General features: G+C 34.0%; 1 protein-coding gene across 16 annotated transcripts in view; it reads right to left on the bottom strand.

The window, feature by feature from the left end:
* LRRIQ1 (leucine rich repeats and IQ motif containing 1) overlaps nt 1-17,450 on the bottom strand; it is a 236,455-nt gene that overhangs the window by 99,001 nt on the left and 120,004 nt on the right. For 13 of the 16 annotated variants that reach the window (XM_011538819.4, XM_024449222.2, XM_011538817.3 and 10 more), the window contains one exon: nt 13,091-13,192. In XM_011538819.4, the coding sequence (XP_011537121.1) occupies nt 13,091-13,192 (102 nt within the window). Of the gene's footprint in view, nt 1-5,786; nt 10,831-13,090; nt 13,193-14,097; nt 14,282-17,450 lie in introns of those variants that run through there. The other 3 variants (XM_024449223.2, XM_047429654.1, XM_011538823.3) reach the window with 2 other exon arrangements.

Genomic DNA, 17,450 nt, shown 5'->3' with positions numbered 1-17,450 from the left:
ACCCCCAATGTGATGGTATTTGTAATGCAGTCTTTAAGGAGGTAATTAGGGTTAAATTAGGAAATGAGGGTGGGATCCTCATGATGGAATTACTGGTCCTATAAGAAGAAGAAGAGAAAGACCTCTCTCTCTCTCTCTCTCTTTCTGTGTGTGTGTGTATGTGTGTGTGCGTGTGTGTGTGTGTATGAGAGATTGCGTGTGTAGTCTCTAGCTTTCTGAGTGAGCAGGGAGAAAAAGAGTGTATTTGCACATGTAAGGATATGGCAAGCAGGTGGCTGTCAACAATCCAAGACAGGAGCCCTCATCAGGAATTGAATTAGCTAGAACCTTGACATTGGACTTCCCAGGCTGCAGATTTGTGAGAAATAAATTTCTGTTCTCTAAGGCACCCAGACTATGGTATTTTGTTATGGGAGCATGAGCTCACTAGGACACATATATCAGCATTCTGGAAGCTAATTAGAAGAATGGCCTAGGGCCTTAGCATTTAATATACATTCCTACAATTACTCTTAGTTTTAACAAGACACCAAGAATCTCAAATAAGCCTGGTATTCTCAAATACAGAGACAGTATTTACAGAATTAATGTTAATGTTAAATTTACAGAATTTACAGAATTTTATTACAGAATTAATGTTAAAAATTTTGTTGAGGTAAGACAAATAGTATTTTATTTTATTTTATTTATTGTTTTTGAGACGGAATCTTGCTTTGTCACCAGGCTAGAATGCAATGGCATGAACTCGGCTCACTGCAACCTCTGCCTCCCAGGTTCAAGCGATTCTCCTACCTCAGCCTCCCGAGTAGCTGGGACTACAGGTGTGCACCACCATGCCAGCTATTTTTTTTTTAATTTTTAGTAGAGATGGGGTTTCACCATGTTCACCAGGATGGTCTCGATCTCTTGATCTTGTGATCCACCCGCCTCAGCTTCACAAAGTGCTGGGATTACAGGTATGAGCTGCTGCACCCGGCCAATATATTTATTTTAATGCCCACTTCATCTCATATCAAGAGGGCCTAATATCATCAATTCCCGAACCTTTGACATAGAGACAGATCTCATATTTTCCCATTGCTGGTTTAAGCTTTTGCTTTCTCATTATTACTCACATATTTACTTTCTAGCCTAAAAAGTTCTATTGCTGTTGCCCCTTCCTAATATTCCCATATTTGCTCATCTATATCTTAAAAATACCTCCACAGAAATTTTAGGGAGATTTTCAGCAGCATCATTTTTATCCAGAAGCCCTTAGATTCTCATTTAATTTTCAAAATATCATGAGAAGTAAAGGCTAGTATTCTGATTTTGCAATTGAGAAAAACAGGACATGGAGTATTTAGCTAGTGAGTGTCTATGCAAGATTTAACACAAGACTTTCTCAGTCTAAATCCATTGTCACTTCATTAATTCATGTAGCCTAGTTTAGATAAAAGGCAATATTCTTAAGGATGACAAACTTTCCAAGATGTTGTAGTAATTCTCTGAGACTTGGATATAATTTCTAGCTATTCCAGAAATACAGAGTGTCCTATGAGACAGGTAGGGGGGTACCTGATACAGATGACAGAGAAGTTTCTTACAAGGGGCAAGGGACAAAGGGGTGCCATGGACTTCACCAAAGTTACTATTCTTCCCTACTTTCTCTGTGAAGCTTTGGCTCAGGAACCCAGGTGCCTTCTTTCTTCTTCCTTGTAGCTGTCCAGGAAAGCAGCAATTGGGGAGTTGGGTGGTATGCGTGCTTTGCTTTCTTTTTGATGTAAGAAGTTTTGCTAGATATAAACTTTCATGGTGGAAGATATTTTATTTTAGCACTTTGAAGCTACCACTACATTATTACATTAGTCAGCTTGGGCTGCTATAACAAAATACTACAGACTGGGATGCTTAAATAACAGAAATTTATTTGCTCACAGTTGTAGAAGCTAAAAGTCCAAGATCCAGGTGCTGGAAGGTGAGGTTTCTTCAGAGGCTTCTCTCCTTGGCTTGCAGATGGCCACCTTCTCTTCATATGTGCTTGCCTCTGTACCCACACACTCCTGGTGTCTCTTCCTCTTCTAAAAAGGACATTCATTCTATTGGATTATGGGCCCAACCTTCTGACTGAATTTTATCTCAATTACCTCTTTCAGTTCCTAACTCCAAATACAGTCAAATTGGACATCAAGGCTTCAACCTATGAATTTTTGAAGGACACAACTCAGTCCACAACAATTATCTTCTGGCTTTGTTTCTCTGAAGAAGTTAGCTTTATTACTGATGCTTCTTTGAAGATAATGTATCTTTTTCTGTGGCTCTTATTAAAATTTCTGTCTTTGTCTTCGATTTTAGCAATTTTATGATGATATGCCAAGATGTGGTTTTTATTGTATATATTTTCTTTATGCACATTAATTTCTTGCATTTACAACTTCAGCTTTTTCTTCACTTTTGGTAAATATTCAACCATAAATCCTTCAAATGTTACTTGTACTCCACTGCCTCACACTTCTCTTTATTGGATTCTAAATGTGTTTCAGTTGATAATTATCTCTTCAGTTTTGATTAATCTGTAGCTGAATCCATCCATTGAATTTTTAAGTTCAGTCGTGGTTTTAAGTTATAAACTTTCAATTTGGATATTTTTATAGGTTTAATATCCTGCTGAAATTCTCAATTTCTTCTTCCGTATCCTCAAAGATATTATGTACATTTATTTTAAAATCTCCATTATCTAAAGTCTCATTGGCTCTACTTACATCGTCTCTTGTTTCTCTTGTTCAATAATGATGTCTCATCTCTTTCCATGTTTATTTTTCACTGTGTGCCAGATATTTTATATGAAAAACTGTGGAGATAAAAAGAAGTCTAGAATTATGTTATCTATTTTTGGAGATGATTTATTTTTGTTTCAGGTAAGAGGCTAGTGAAAAATCTATTTCCAGTTGACCTAGGCAAGTAACATCAAAAATTTTTATCAGCTTCTCAGCTCTTTGGATTTCCTTCTTGACTTATAATTTCTTACTTGTTAGGTCTCCAATGACTTCACTGAAATTTTTAAAACAAAAATTTTCCAGCTTTTGTAGTTGTTCTCTGAAGTACAGTTGATCAGAATTACATAGTCCTCTATTATGAGAAGTGGAAGTCCTCTTTTTTTTTAACAAAAAGTACACAGGCTACATATGGTCCATTTCAAAAAACTCTAAGAGCTCTGAAATCTCTTCCTATTTAAAAATTTAACCATATACATATCTCTCATATATACACACATATATGTATAAAAAGTGTATCTATAAAGTATATATGTTATATATATATTTATACATGGGATATGTAAATTATATATACATATAATATGTGCATATACTATGCATATACAATTTTTTGTATATGCATAGTATATATGACTCCTTATTTTGTTAAGAACACGTTTGTGCATGTATATGCTTGTACTAAGAAAATATCTTCATTTTATTTCCTTTCTTTTTCCTTTATTATGTGATGTAAGTTTTACTGACTTCATATCAGCATTTAAGTACATATATATATATATATATACAATATGCACATACAAATACATACTTTGGAATAGAACACAAATATTCAATTATGGCAGAATTAGGGGGAAATACAAAAAATATGAGCTATTTATAACTGATTTGGATTAAAAAATAGTTGAATAGGTTGCTCTCAGACCTTAGATTGCCATTCCCTGAATCTACCTTATCCAGATATAAACGTTTTAAAAGTTATAGTTTGTTTTATGCTTCACTGGACCAAATTCTCTAATCAGATTTATTTTTTCTGTAGAAAATTGAAATTTATTTCAAACCTTGTATTACTAAATGATGTGATACTGCCTAGAATATATTTAGGAAGTTTTAATTATAAGATGTCATGTACATTTACATTCTTTCTTAATCATATATTTATTGAGAACCAATATACTACTGGCACTGCTCTAAGTGCTGAGGATATAAGAATAAACCATTCTGACATGGCTCTCCTTCCATACTATTGTTGGAGCCACAATATATAAGTAAGCAGTTTAAATTAATAAATGAGACAATAGCAAATAAATGCCACAAAATGACAGGTGTTATGAGAGAGAGGAGCTGGTAAGAGAGGAAAAGGCTATGTGAAATAGTGTTACAGGGAAAGGTTCTCACACTGGATAAATGTGAAACTAAACAATAAGACAGCCATTTGTGTAAAATGCTAAGGGCACTGTTTAGGCAGAAAGAGGATGAAATACGAAAGCTACAAAATAATAAAGTACTTATCATACTTGAGGAACAGAAAGAGGGCTTGACAATTACAGTCCGGTAGGACATGATATTTAATATCAAGTCCAGCTTTTATTCAAAGGACAACAGGAGGCCATGAAAAGATTTTAGATACTTAATTATATCAAGAGCTATCATATCACATTAAAAAAATCAAAACATAGCTCCTGATCTTCAATTATCTAAGGGCTTCCAACTTACATTTCAATTTTATTTAGTTTTGTTACTGACTCTTTCTCCAGGTTCCTCTCTCCCTACTAGTCAAGACTTATAAAAAAAATCATGCAAAAAACAGATTACAAGATTTTGCTATTTTATCCTTCATTCCTTGCAAATGCAGGCAGATTTCTACTGATACTATCTTTTCCAAAAGGAATGAAGTTTTGTCTCCTATCTCAAAAGCCTGCTTGTGAGAATGTCATTAATTAGTAGAGATAAAATACTTAGAACAGTGCCTTGTACAAATGATAAATGATAAGCAACACTAAGGAGGCTATTATATTATATGGTATATAATAATTTCCTCAGGATACTATTGAAACATAGTGAGTGGTGTTGTGAGACAGGTTAGTTTTACCCTATTGATGATATGTTGTTGCCATGGTATTCCTCACAGTATTGCCTCTGACCAAGGCACAAACTTCATAACTAAAGAAGTGTGGCAGTGGGCTTATGCTCATGGAATTCACTGGTCTTACCATATTCCCCATCATCTGAAGCTGAAGCAGCTGCATTGATAGAATGGTGGAATGGCCTTTCGAAGTCACAATTACAATACAAAATAGGTGACAATACTTTGCAGGCCTGGGGCAAAGTTCTCCAGAAGGCTGTGTATGCCCTGAATCAGTGTCCAATATATGGTACTCTTTCTCCCATAGCCAGGATTCACAGGTCCAGGAATTAAGGGGCGGAATTGGAAGTGGCACCACTCACCATCACCCCTAGTGACCCACTAGCAAAATTTTTGCTTCCTATTCCTATGACATTATATTCTGCTGGCCTAGAGGTCTTAGTTCCAAAAGGAGGAATGCTGCCACCAGGAGATACAACAATAATTCCATTAAACTGGAAGTTAAGATTGCCACCTGGCTACTTTGTGCTCCTCCTACCTCTAAGTCAATAGGCTAACAAGGGAGCTGTAGTGTTGGCTGGGGTGATTGGCCCAGAGTATCAAGATGAAGTCTACTACTTCATGATGGAGGTAAGGCGGAATATGAGTGGGACAGGAGATCCCTTAGGGTGTCCCTTAGTATTACCATGCCCTGTGATTAAGGTCAGTAGGTAACTACAGGAACCCACTCCAGGCAGGGCTACAAATGGCCCAGCCCCTTCAGGAATGAAGGTTTGGTTCACTCCTCCAGATAAAAAACCATGACCTGCTGAGGTGCTTGCTGAAGGCAATGGGATGGGTATTAGAAGAAGGTAGGACTGTGATTGTCAAGAGTATTTTCTTCTTATTTCATTAAGAACTTGTTTGTGCATGTATACACTTGTACTAAGAAAATATCTTCATTTTATTTCCTTTCTTTTTCCTTTATAATGTGCCATAAAATTTATTGACTTCATGACAGGATTTAAGTGTTGTTAACTTTATGTAATAGCATTTAGGTTAAGGATTAGTGCACTTCCGATTGTATGAATGCTAGCTGCGTTAGGTTAGGCATTATTATGACCTTATTATTGTCTTTATTTGAAGATTATGTGTGATGTCAGGACATGTGAATGGGTTCAAGTTGACAAGGGGTGGACTTGTGATGGTTAATACTGGGTGTCAACTTGATTGGATAGAAGAATGCAAAGTATTGTTCCTGGTTGTGTCTGTGAGGGTGTTGCCAAAGGAGATTAACATTTGAGTCAGTAAACAGGGAAAGGCAGGCCCACCCTCAATCTGGGTGGGCACCATCTAATCAGCTACCAGCTTGGCTTGAATTAAGTAGGCAGGAGAAGATGGAAGAGAGACTTGCTGAGTCTTCCAGCCTTCATCTTTCTCCCATGCTGAATGCTTCCTGCCCTAGAACATTGGACTCCAAGTTCTTCAGCTTTTGGACTCTTGGACTTACACCAGCAGTTTGCAAGAGGCACTTGGGCCTTCAGCAAACGACTGAAGACTGCACTGTTGGCTTCCCTACTTTTGAGGTTTTGAGACTCGGGCTGGCTTCCTTGCTCCTCAGCTTGCAGATGGCCTATTGTGGGGCTTCACTCTGTGATCGTGTTAGTCAATACTTTTTAATAAATTCCCTTTATATATACATCTATCCTATTAGTTTTGTCCCTCTAGAGAACCCTGACTAATAATACATATGGCATATAAAAGTTTATTCAGGACACACAGTGAGTGGTGTTCTAAACTAGAATCAGAAAAGTCTTCCTAAAAAATTAAATGCCTGAGATAATACAAATTAGCCAAGTGAAGAGATTTTTCTGGATTGCATAGGGCAATGAGTCTAATTTGGCAAAGCAAACAGCATGTTAAAAAATATTATATAAGCATATTGCAACTCCATCTATGTTTGACACTCTTTAATGCCAGGGTCCTTTGTATTTTTCAGTTATTCATCAAAAAACATTTATTAACTATCCATTATACATTAGGCACTGTGCTAAGGGCTAGGGGTATTAAAGAAATACATGGAGCTCAAAACTTAGTAGGAAAACAGTAATTCAAAATATAGTGTTTGTTGGAGACTGACATACTGATAAATCACATTTTATAAATCTTTGCATCCATGATAATTTTGACTAATTATTGAATCTTGCTCAGTGGAATAAAATTATGAGCATCTCTTCTTACGGGGCTGCCTTCAGGTATTTTGTTGCCTGCATATGCCCTGTGGCATTTATGCTGCCATCTCTTAATACATAGTCATTGGCACTATTAGCAAGTACTATAAACAGCTAGGGAAATGCAAGACCTCCTTTAAAGCAATCTACACAACATAAACTGTTCTCTAAGCTGGCATTAAAAAGGAGAAGTCAGGAGGAGAAAATGCTTATAATTCTAAAGTAAAAAGTATCACAAAAGAAATGTTCTGGAGTAAAAATTATAGAAGTTATAGGTTTCTTAATACATTCAATATTTAAACATTTAATACAAAAATATTTGAATATATGTTTATAAAACCATGAGTTATCTGCAAATCTTCTATTTTATAAAAGAACAAATAGGAAGCATGTTAGTGATGACAGCAGCAGACTGGGAATTAAGAAAATCTGACTTGAAATCGAGTACAATTGTCCCAGGGAATGGAGGAGCTAAGACTAAATAAACCCGTATTCCTCAGAAAGTTGTTGCGCCAGACTAAATTTTTTTCCTGGCTTGGCTAACTTCCTTCCCTGACCAAAGCCAGAAGTCTGAATTTGGCATTGACTTTAGAAGTAGCAAATTTAGAAGTTTCAGTAGATGAGGGCAGGAAAGTGACTTAATTTATGTATAAATAAAAATAGGAATAATGAAGCAAAAATATAGGCTCTGTGGGGAGGTTCTCATATATCTGAAAATTAAAACATGTGATTCAAAATGTGGGAGATTTCTCAAAGAACTGAAAATAGAACTACCATTCGACACAGCAATCCTATTACTGGGTATAAACCCAAAGGAAAATAAATCCTTCTACCAAAAAGACATGCACTCGTATGTACATCGCGGCACTAGTCACAATAGCAGGGACCTGAAATCAACCTAGGTGCTCGTCAGCAGTGGTTTGGATAAAGAAAATGTGGAACATATATACCATGGAATACTATGGAGCCATTAAAATGCATCAAATCAGCCGGGCGCGGTGGCTCATGCCTGTAATCCTAGCACTTTGGGAGGCCAAGGCGGGTGGATTGCCTGAGCTCAGGAGACCAACCTGGGCAACACGGTGAAACCCCGTCTCTACTAAAATACAAAAGAAATTAGCTGGGCGTGGTGGCGTGTGCCTGTAATGCCAGCTACTTGGGAGGATGAGGCAGGAGAATTGCTTGAACCTGGGAGGCAGAGGTTGCAGTGAGAAGAGATAGTGTCACTGCACTTGAGCCTGGGTGACAGAGCAAGACTCTGTCTCAAAAAAAAAAAAAAAAAAAAAAAGTAAGAAATCATGTCCTTTCCAGCAACATGGAGGCCACTATCTTAAGGCAATTAATGCAGGAACAGAAAACCAAATACCGCATGTTCTCACTTATAAGTGGGAGCTAAACATCAGGTACACATGGACGCAAAGACAGAAACAATAGACCCCAGGAACTACTAGAGTGGGGAGAGAGGGAGGAAACCAGGGGCTGAAAAACGGTACCTGTTTGTTACTATGCTCTTTATCTGGGTGATGAGATCATTTGTAGCCCAAACCTCAGTATCATACACAATTTAACAAAACTGCCCATGTTACCCCTGAATCTAAAATAAAAGTTGGAATTATTTTAAAAATGGTCACTCTTTACTAATAATCTCACAGACTTGATATTTAATATTAGGTTATCATAATAATATCAATAATAACATTATCCAAGATAGCAGCTAACTATAGGTCACAAATCAAATCTTCATTACCATGTTGGCACTAAATGATATCCTAAATTATATTAATGCAACTATGAGAAAGGAATAAAAACCAAAATTGATTATGGTTTTCTCAGAGTTTTACCTTATTTTAATAATTAGTCTTTACTTTTTTCCTAAGTATTTTAATTCTAAGTGGTATAAATTTCATGGTTACCTGGTAATCTTTTTTCTCTAACATTTGTATTTTGTTTTGATTTTGCAAGCTTTATTTGTCAAAGAAATTATTACCATTTCCCTTCAGCCACTTGTTTTCTATGTAGAAACCTTGGTCAAGTCACCTATCAATCTCTCAATACTACTGTTTTATCATCTGTAAAATGTTGACAGTCATAATACCTTTCTCAAAGTTTCTGAAAGCACTGAATCAGAGAACGTAAGTAAAACTCTCAGCACAGTACTTAATAATAAATGGAATAAAGAGAACTAATTGTAAACAAGAACAAGAAGGGATGCCATACTTTTAAAATGACTATTGCTAATGATTACATTTTGAGCACTTAATATGTACTTAGATTGTGTGTTCCAAGATTCTCACAAATAAAATCTATGTAATCCTCACAATACTCCCCATGCCTAAGTACTGTTCGCCTCTTATTTCATAGATGAAAAATAATGAGAAACAGAGAAGTTAAACAACTTCCCAAAGGTCACAGAGCTAATAAACGATAAAGACAAGATTCAAACTGTGTTGGACTAACTCCAGAATCTACACTAATGTCCATTAAGCTATGCTTGTTCTTATGCAAGTGATGAATATAAATGATGTCAGAGCTCCAAACTAAACAATTAAGACAGAAAAAAAAGAAACTTGGCTGCAGATCTTTAAGGCAATAACCAAGAAATTGTTTTGAGTTCTAAGACAATATAGGATATTGAAATCCAAGTAGGTATTACAGGTTGGTAACAAAGGTAAACAAAGACAGGCATCTGATTCAAAATAAATATAAATAAACAAATAAATAAAATAAGCCAATGTTAAATCTGCAAAGTGTTCAGGCTCTCAGACTTGTCTCATAGGAAAAACTGGCTAATAGGTGACACATGGCACATATATGAGGTGACTCTGGGGACAGGCGTGGTCAAAGGCTCCTCAGACTTGATTAAGTTAAAGATCTAAATCTGGTAGCCAGACAAAAATGGTCAACATTTTATGAATATAGAAAAAATAGAAGAACATCCTGTAAAACATAGACTGTAAAAATGGTATAATATTTTACCTTATATTTTTAATATAATTTGATATTTAATATCAACTATTCCTTGAATTTAAGCATATTTTTAATCATAGACCAACAGAGATATATCTACCATCCTTTCTTGCTACTAATGTTTTTGCTAGGGATGTTCAGAAAAAGCCACAATAAAAATCAAATTTGTAAGAAGAATCATGGAAACCCCATATAGTCAACATTGCAGAGTGGAGATAGAAAGTAATTTTTTTTTAAATTTATACAATGTTACTAAAATAAATGTGGATTTTGGAAAGCAATAGTCAAGCAGTTCTACAGTATGATCCAATTTCAACAAAACCAAGGAAATTATAAGACAGTGTTGGCATACCATTGTGCTGAGATACTGTTCCACATGGAATTATTCAATATGAACCTACAGGAAAATTTAATTTTGATCTTCCTCACTTTTCTGGGGGGCATCAGATGCCCAACCACTAATTTTATTTGATTTTTTTTCTTAAGGAATAAAAGATCTTCCAATGTTCTAAAACTAGATTTGGTGATGGTTATGTAACTGTAAATATAGTAGAGTTCATTGTATTGCACTTTTAAAAGAGGTGCATTTTATAATAAAGTTGTATCTCAGAAGAATTGGGTTCAGGAGGCACTCTCTACTGGGCAGTAGGGGTAAGTTGGGATATTTCTTTGGAAGCTGCACTCTGTGGCATCAGGAAATATCTGTGATTCTGTGAAGTGAATAATTCCAGAGCAGCAGTTAAAGACAACATGGGGTTCAACTTGGCCAGCAATGAACAAATGATTTTGCCTCACTTTTCGTCACTGTTTTCCCCTTAAAAAGAGGGACAAGAATAAACATATTAACTGTTAAAAAAAACTTCCATATAAAACTGTTTTTGCCAAGCCTATTCCTAAACAAACAACAACAAAAACCTATAGCACATTAGAAAATCTGGTAAATACATAAAACTCATTCAGTGAAATTAATGAAATGCCAAATGTACTTTACCTGGTTCCAAAAGAAAGCAAACGAAACAAAATTCACTTGGGGGAAAGAAAACAAAATCATAGAACATCACATCGTAAAGCTTATGTGGAAATGTTTTATATTCTATAGGCCACTTTGAATTTATCACTACTTTGAACTATTTCTAGCATATTTTATACCAGTACACAATTCAATAAACATATCATACATACATATTATACTATTCTAGATGGTAATGTAGCTTCACATTTAATAGAACAAGATAGGATGCAAGAGAACCTATTAGGATAGATTCTCTTTATGAGTCTGAGATATGTGTTAAATTAAAGGATAAAAACACCCTGCTTATCTTTCTTCCTAGGCAGTTCTTTTCTAATGCAACAACATTCCTATTTAATAAACAATATCTGTAGAGTTATTACTGATTTTAGCAGAATTTCTACATTTTTTAAAAAAAGACTGAAATGGTAGAGTTAAGACTATAACAATGAAATATACTCAATGATTAAAACCCAAGCCTTATTTTAAATTGGGAATATATTTTAATTCTATCAAAATATTAATCCATAAATATTTGTTGAAATAATATTGTGTTTTGACATGGATAATGGGCACCAAAATTTTTAAATGTTTTACTATGGAAAATATTTAATATAAAAAAAGAATGTAAAGGAAATCTTTACACACTATCATCTGTTGGTCCAACAATTTCAAAATAATTTCCCACACTTGTTTTATTTATCTTTCTATGTATGTTTTTATTATTAATTTTTTTTTTTTGAGGTGGAGTCTCGCTCTGTCGCCCAGGCTGGAGTGCAGTGGCGCGATCTTGGCTCACTGCAAGCTCTGCCTCCCGGGTTCACGCCATTCTCCTGCCTCAGCCTCCGAGTAGCTGGGACTACAGGAGCCCACCACCACGCCCGGCTAATTTTTTGTATTTTTAGTAGAGACAGGGTTTCACCGTGTTAGCCAGGATGGTCTCGATCTCCTGATCTCGTGATCTGTCTGCCTCGGCCTCCCAAAGTGCTGGGATTACAGGCGTGAGCCATCACGCCCAGACTATTGCTATCTACTTTACGGAAAATTCTAGACTCCATGACTTCTACCCCTACATACTTCAGTAGGCATTTCTAGGATGGTGTAAATTTGGTGGTTAACAAACTTTTCTTTAGTTTTAGACATTACAAAACAGAAATGTAAATCAAACTGTTTCCATTTTCAATCGTGCTATGAAGATGCCTAAATTTTAAGATTTATTTAAATCTTATAGAAGACAAAATATTGAAAATGTTCATAGGTCCTTTTCATTAAAATATGATTCCATTTTTCTATTAAAATTGCTATCCAAACTATAGGTTAAATTATAAAAAACTTATACTAAAATGAAAATTTAAAACTAAATAAAAATTTTATACTAAAAAAGTAGTACAATTTTTTAGTATAAAAACTAAAAAACATTAATATTAAAAGGAAAGCAGATGGCAAACGTTTTAAGTCATGTTTGCTGCACTGTTTTGCATCATGCTTGCTACTTTATTACATTTAAATATTTCTGTTTAATAATTTAAGTTCATGTTTTTTCTGAACGTTGAAATCAGAGATATAATCAGAACTATCACCACCTAGATGTGCAAATCCTTCACTCCAACAGTGAGTTGGGCAAACTTCAAATATTGTAAAATATTTTAAATTCCAGAGTATAATTTATAGGGCTTAATACAATTTGTGTAAATTGGCAGTAAACAGAATATCATTTCGACATGTGATCACTTCCACTGATACAAGTTAATATATCTGTCACTGTAAAATTTAAATAACATTAATGTCACTGATGATACATCATTATAAAACGTTCATATATAAATAAAAAAATTAAAATTTATGTAAACATTGATACAAATTTTCAATGACTATATCAATATTTCAGCACACTAAATTAGCACTTCAGCTTTAAGAGCCATATTTTGAGTTATTCAAGTATATGTTATACATAATTCTTTATATATATACTTTATGATTAAGAATTAAAAATTTATTGTAAATATAATTCTTTTAATCTTTCTTTATCTTTTTACCTCTCTATGTATCTGTTATTAAGCCATACCTTCAAAGTAACCATCTCTTCTGGGCTGTACCATCTTTGGTGATTTTGGAAGAGACACTTTATTTTCATTGTTTTTGAATAAGGCTAGACGCACAGTGGAATCTAAACAAAACGAATAAGAAAGGAGCAGAGTTCATCTTTGGTTAATTCCTTCTCTAAATGTCCACATATTTCTTATATGGTGGTAGTAAAAAAAAAATCCACTTTATAAAGCTCTATGAAATTGATGATGATGTTATATTAAGCTTCATAACATGGAAAGGTAGCCAACCATGTACGTATTATTGGTTATCTGATTAAACAAATAGCCAATACTTAAAGAACAGAAATACTCTACTTTTCCATCTAAACTGTGGGGAGATGGGATACAAAAGATGGAAGCAAGACAACTAATGGAATAAGAAACAGGTAGGAAAAGGTTATTTCATTAATTTAACACCTAAAATAGTGGTTTTTCTTTGCCCTAATGTATTTTCAGATAACAAAGATGTATAAATTTTCTCCATATATTCAAAGACAAGAATATTCAAGATCTATTAATATTACAAAAAATAGATTGTGAATGCAGACTATACATATCAAATTAAGAAACAAGATTTTTAATGTTGTAAATACCAAATTACATATTTTAATTAAATGCTAAAGTAGCAAAAATAAATAGTATTTGCATAGCTATTCTCCAGCATGAGCAACCTGACAATTTCCATTAGTCTTCTAGTAATAATTCATCTTTACTAAGTATGATTTACATTTTTCACAATGATTGTATTTCTCAAGATTAGGGAAAATGTTGGACAATGTTTAGGTACATTTCATAAGTATTAATATATGTAATCTCAGGTGTTATTAAATGTTTCTTATGAATTCAATATGAACTATCAGTAAGAATAATAAAATCTGTGTATATATATTTCATAAAATAAGTATTATATATCATCTAAGTCATTTACAAAAAAAAATGACATGTCAAAGAACAATTAGTCAATGAGGAAAGACATTACCATGGGCTTGCAAACTGTTCGGTGTCTTATAACCATCTCTCTACTCTCTTGCTCTTCTTGCCTTTTTATTTGATCTATGTATTTTCTGACAACATCACAAACAATTCAGCAGACCTGGGTTAGATCCTAGTGCCAAATTTTACTAGTTGTATGACTCCGGAAAAACTGTTCTCACCTTCTGTCTCTTCCTCTGTCCAACAGAAGTAATATTGTTTTTGAAGTACTAGTAGTACTGTACAAATTAATGAGATCATTTGTGTAAAAAAAATCAGTCCCATGCACACATTTGTGTAGGTTCTCAACCACAGACATAATTATGACATCAACAATGAAACATTTCCAGTTTATATTCTTAGAAAAAAAACTTACATTCTTCATAAAATTTACTGCAATATATAAAAATACATAGAACCATAATTGGCTCCATTTCATTTAACACAGTGCACTGAACAGAAGCTATGGATATTTTATAAGTTCTTTGGCATTTCTTTGGCCAAATAATAAAACAATCATACTTTCCTCATACTATTATCAAGGTCAAATAATTTAATATGTACAAAATATTTAGAAAGGTTATCTAGCTAAAGTTACTCAAAATAATTTTATTCTCCAAGAGCAATAGTGCTACATTATCAGTCATTCTGATTGCATCAGCATAAATTGATTTAATCTTGAATTAATTCAAATTGCAAAGGGATAATTATAAGAAGTAAGAAACATAGTACTTTTAGATAGAAAAAAAATCACTTGATTTTGATAGTCCCTGAAAATACCACTGGTAATAATGCAGTATTCTTACCTCAATAAAAAAATGAATAAATAAATAAAAACACAACCCAGTTAAAAAAAAAGCCAAGGGATAAGGTAATTGTAAACAGTATAGTTTGTTACACGTTTTTATTCATTATAAAGTCAGTTTTGTACACTTAAGTCTACTCCTCTGTGGTAATCAACAGCAGGTGTAAGTTGCCTTATAAACATAAATCTTTTTATCTCCCAGCAATGACTTGCCCAGTGTTGGGGAAATAGGTATTAAATAGATGTTCAAAAATGTTTCAAGAAACCCCTAGGTAAGTAACCATGTCCCTATTATGCATGCATCTCTATACTTAACAGTTTATTATTTCATTTAAATAATATAATTTTAGTTAAGCATTAGAGTATCCATATTATTAAATTCCTTGTACAATCCCTTTTCAACTTCTATAATTCTAATTTATCTCATTGTTTTATTTTAGTATTTTTCTTCTTACATACAAATCTGGTTATTATTACCCATTTTTTGCAGGTGTAAAATAAGGTGTATAGCAGTGCTGTAAAATAAGCTTGAATAACTAGCAATATTTCATAATCTTAAAAGGAGTACTATTTACTAATTTAAATTTTCCCAAATATAAGCATATATTTACATGACTAAAATGCACACACATACTGTAAAATGTATATTAGTGACTTTTATCTAGTTTTTTTTTTTTAGTCAATTGACATTCATTGGATATCTACCAGGTGCTAGGCATGGTGGTAGTAGGTCTGAGATGTCAAGAGTGTTTCAGCCCTCAAGGATTTTACTATTCAGATGAATTTTATTATTAATTTTTTGTGGTTGAGAGCATAACACAGTAACATCTGATCAAAATTCTTGTAAAATCTTTCTGAAAATTGATGTGGTAAACAAAATAAATCTTGAATAAACTTCATTTTGGTAGAGTTTTGTCTATACTATTCCCTGCTGGTCCCTCCCCCTTAACATTCTTTAGTTACATTTATTATCATTCTGCAATCTGATGGCTTTGCTATAGCCCATGAGTTGTTTACTTGACATAAAAAATTAGCCTTTTTTTAATGCTGGCTTAATTCCTGGCAAAAAATCCATGTTAGGTCTTCGTACTATGTTCCTTAAACCTCTTACCAGCTAATCTCCACCAAAATCCCTATACTCAGACCCCATTCTCTCTGAGCACTCTGAGGAGTGCTCCACATCAAAACCAAACACCCACTCCCTTTCTGCATCCACCTCATCTCAGTCTTGCTACCAATTACACTCAGTGTTGTGAGATTATTGACCCTGCATGTTTTCAATAAACCAGTAACTCTCACCTTACACAGGATCTTCTTCACTGCACTACTGAATTCTAAACTTCCCTGGATATCTGCTAAATTTCAACACAGATCACCAAATTCTGAAACTGCTTCTGTGTATGAAGCAACAATAAATACAAACAAACAAACAAATAAAACCCAGAAATACAAGACCAGTCATTATTGGTTCAAGCTTATGCCAATCAAGAGGTTAAAAGCAATTACTCACTAGGAAAAACAACCACTATAACCCAAACATAAACTGTATAAGTAATGATAACTCCTCACAATTTTAGATTTTACCGTGTAGCTTTCAATCAATTCCTCCTCTTCCTTCTCCACCCTCCTCCTCTTTTAATCAGATGGTCTCACTTCTACCAATAGAAGTCATCGATACTAAGTCTCCCCTAGTAGCTGCCCATACCACATCTTTCCTCGCTCAGTTTGTTGCCTCTTCATAAATGAGCTTCCTCATATTCTTCCCTCTCTCTGCAACTGATTCCATTACATTCTACTTTCTTAAATTAATTGACCCTCTGCTTTTTGCTGTATTTTCATTTTCATCTTAAATAAATAAAATATTATTGACTCATATCCCTTGACTGATAAAAACATGTACAAAATACAAACAGAAAATATGAAGTGCTTGCTACTGAGCGCTCTAAGGTTTTCTGTGGCAGAAATTTGAATTAAAGCTACCATACTTCTTGCAATTGTGCTCCATTTCCTTGAGGATTACTACTTTGTTAGATTGTAGGCCATAATTTATTACATTAATTAATTGTTTGTATTCTCTGACACCCCTCCTGCCATGCTCCCCACTCCCGTAGATCTAGTTAGTCTCGCAGCAGTTTTATAGACGATGTTGCTCTCTAGTGGCTTAAAAATTTCAAGTTGGCAAGTTGTCTATGTAAGATATGTATCTCCAAGTATATTTAAAAACTGCTAGTAAATCTTTCAGTGTTTAACCAAATTTAGATATTTAAAACATTGTTTTAACTCATTAGTGAGTAAAAATTTAAATTATGGTCATTATTTGAGACAGATGCAAGTAAGTTAATGGTATATCACAGATCGATTGAATTATAAAACTGGAAAAAGTACTGAACATTTTTTATTCTATAAGAAGAAAACCTGAGGCACAGAATCTTAAATAATTTGCTCACAGATACAAAATGAAATAAGTTCTACATCATCAACTGAACAGAAGATAGACAAAATGTGATGATTAGAAAATATCTCTCAGATTTTCTTTTTCATGCTTTTCACCATTAATCCTC

This window comes from Homo sapiens, chromosome 12 (genome assembly GCF_000001405.40).
Source record: "Homo sapiens chromosome 12, GRCh38.p14 Primary Assembly".
Classification (NCBI taxonomy): domain Eukaryota; kingdom Metazoa; phylum Chordata; class Mammalia; order Primates; family Hominidae; genus Homo; species Homo sapiens.
The sequence above is the reverse complement of the archived record's forward strand: the minus strand, read 5'-3'. Positions and strand labels throughout refer to the sequence as shown.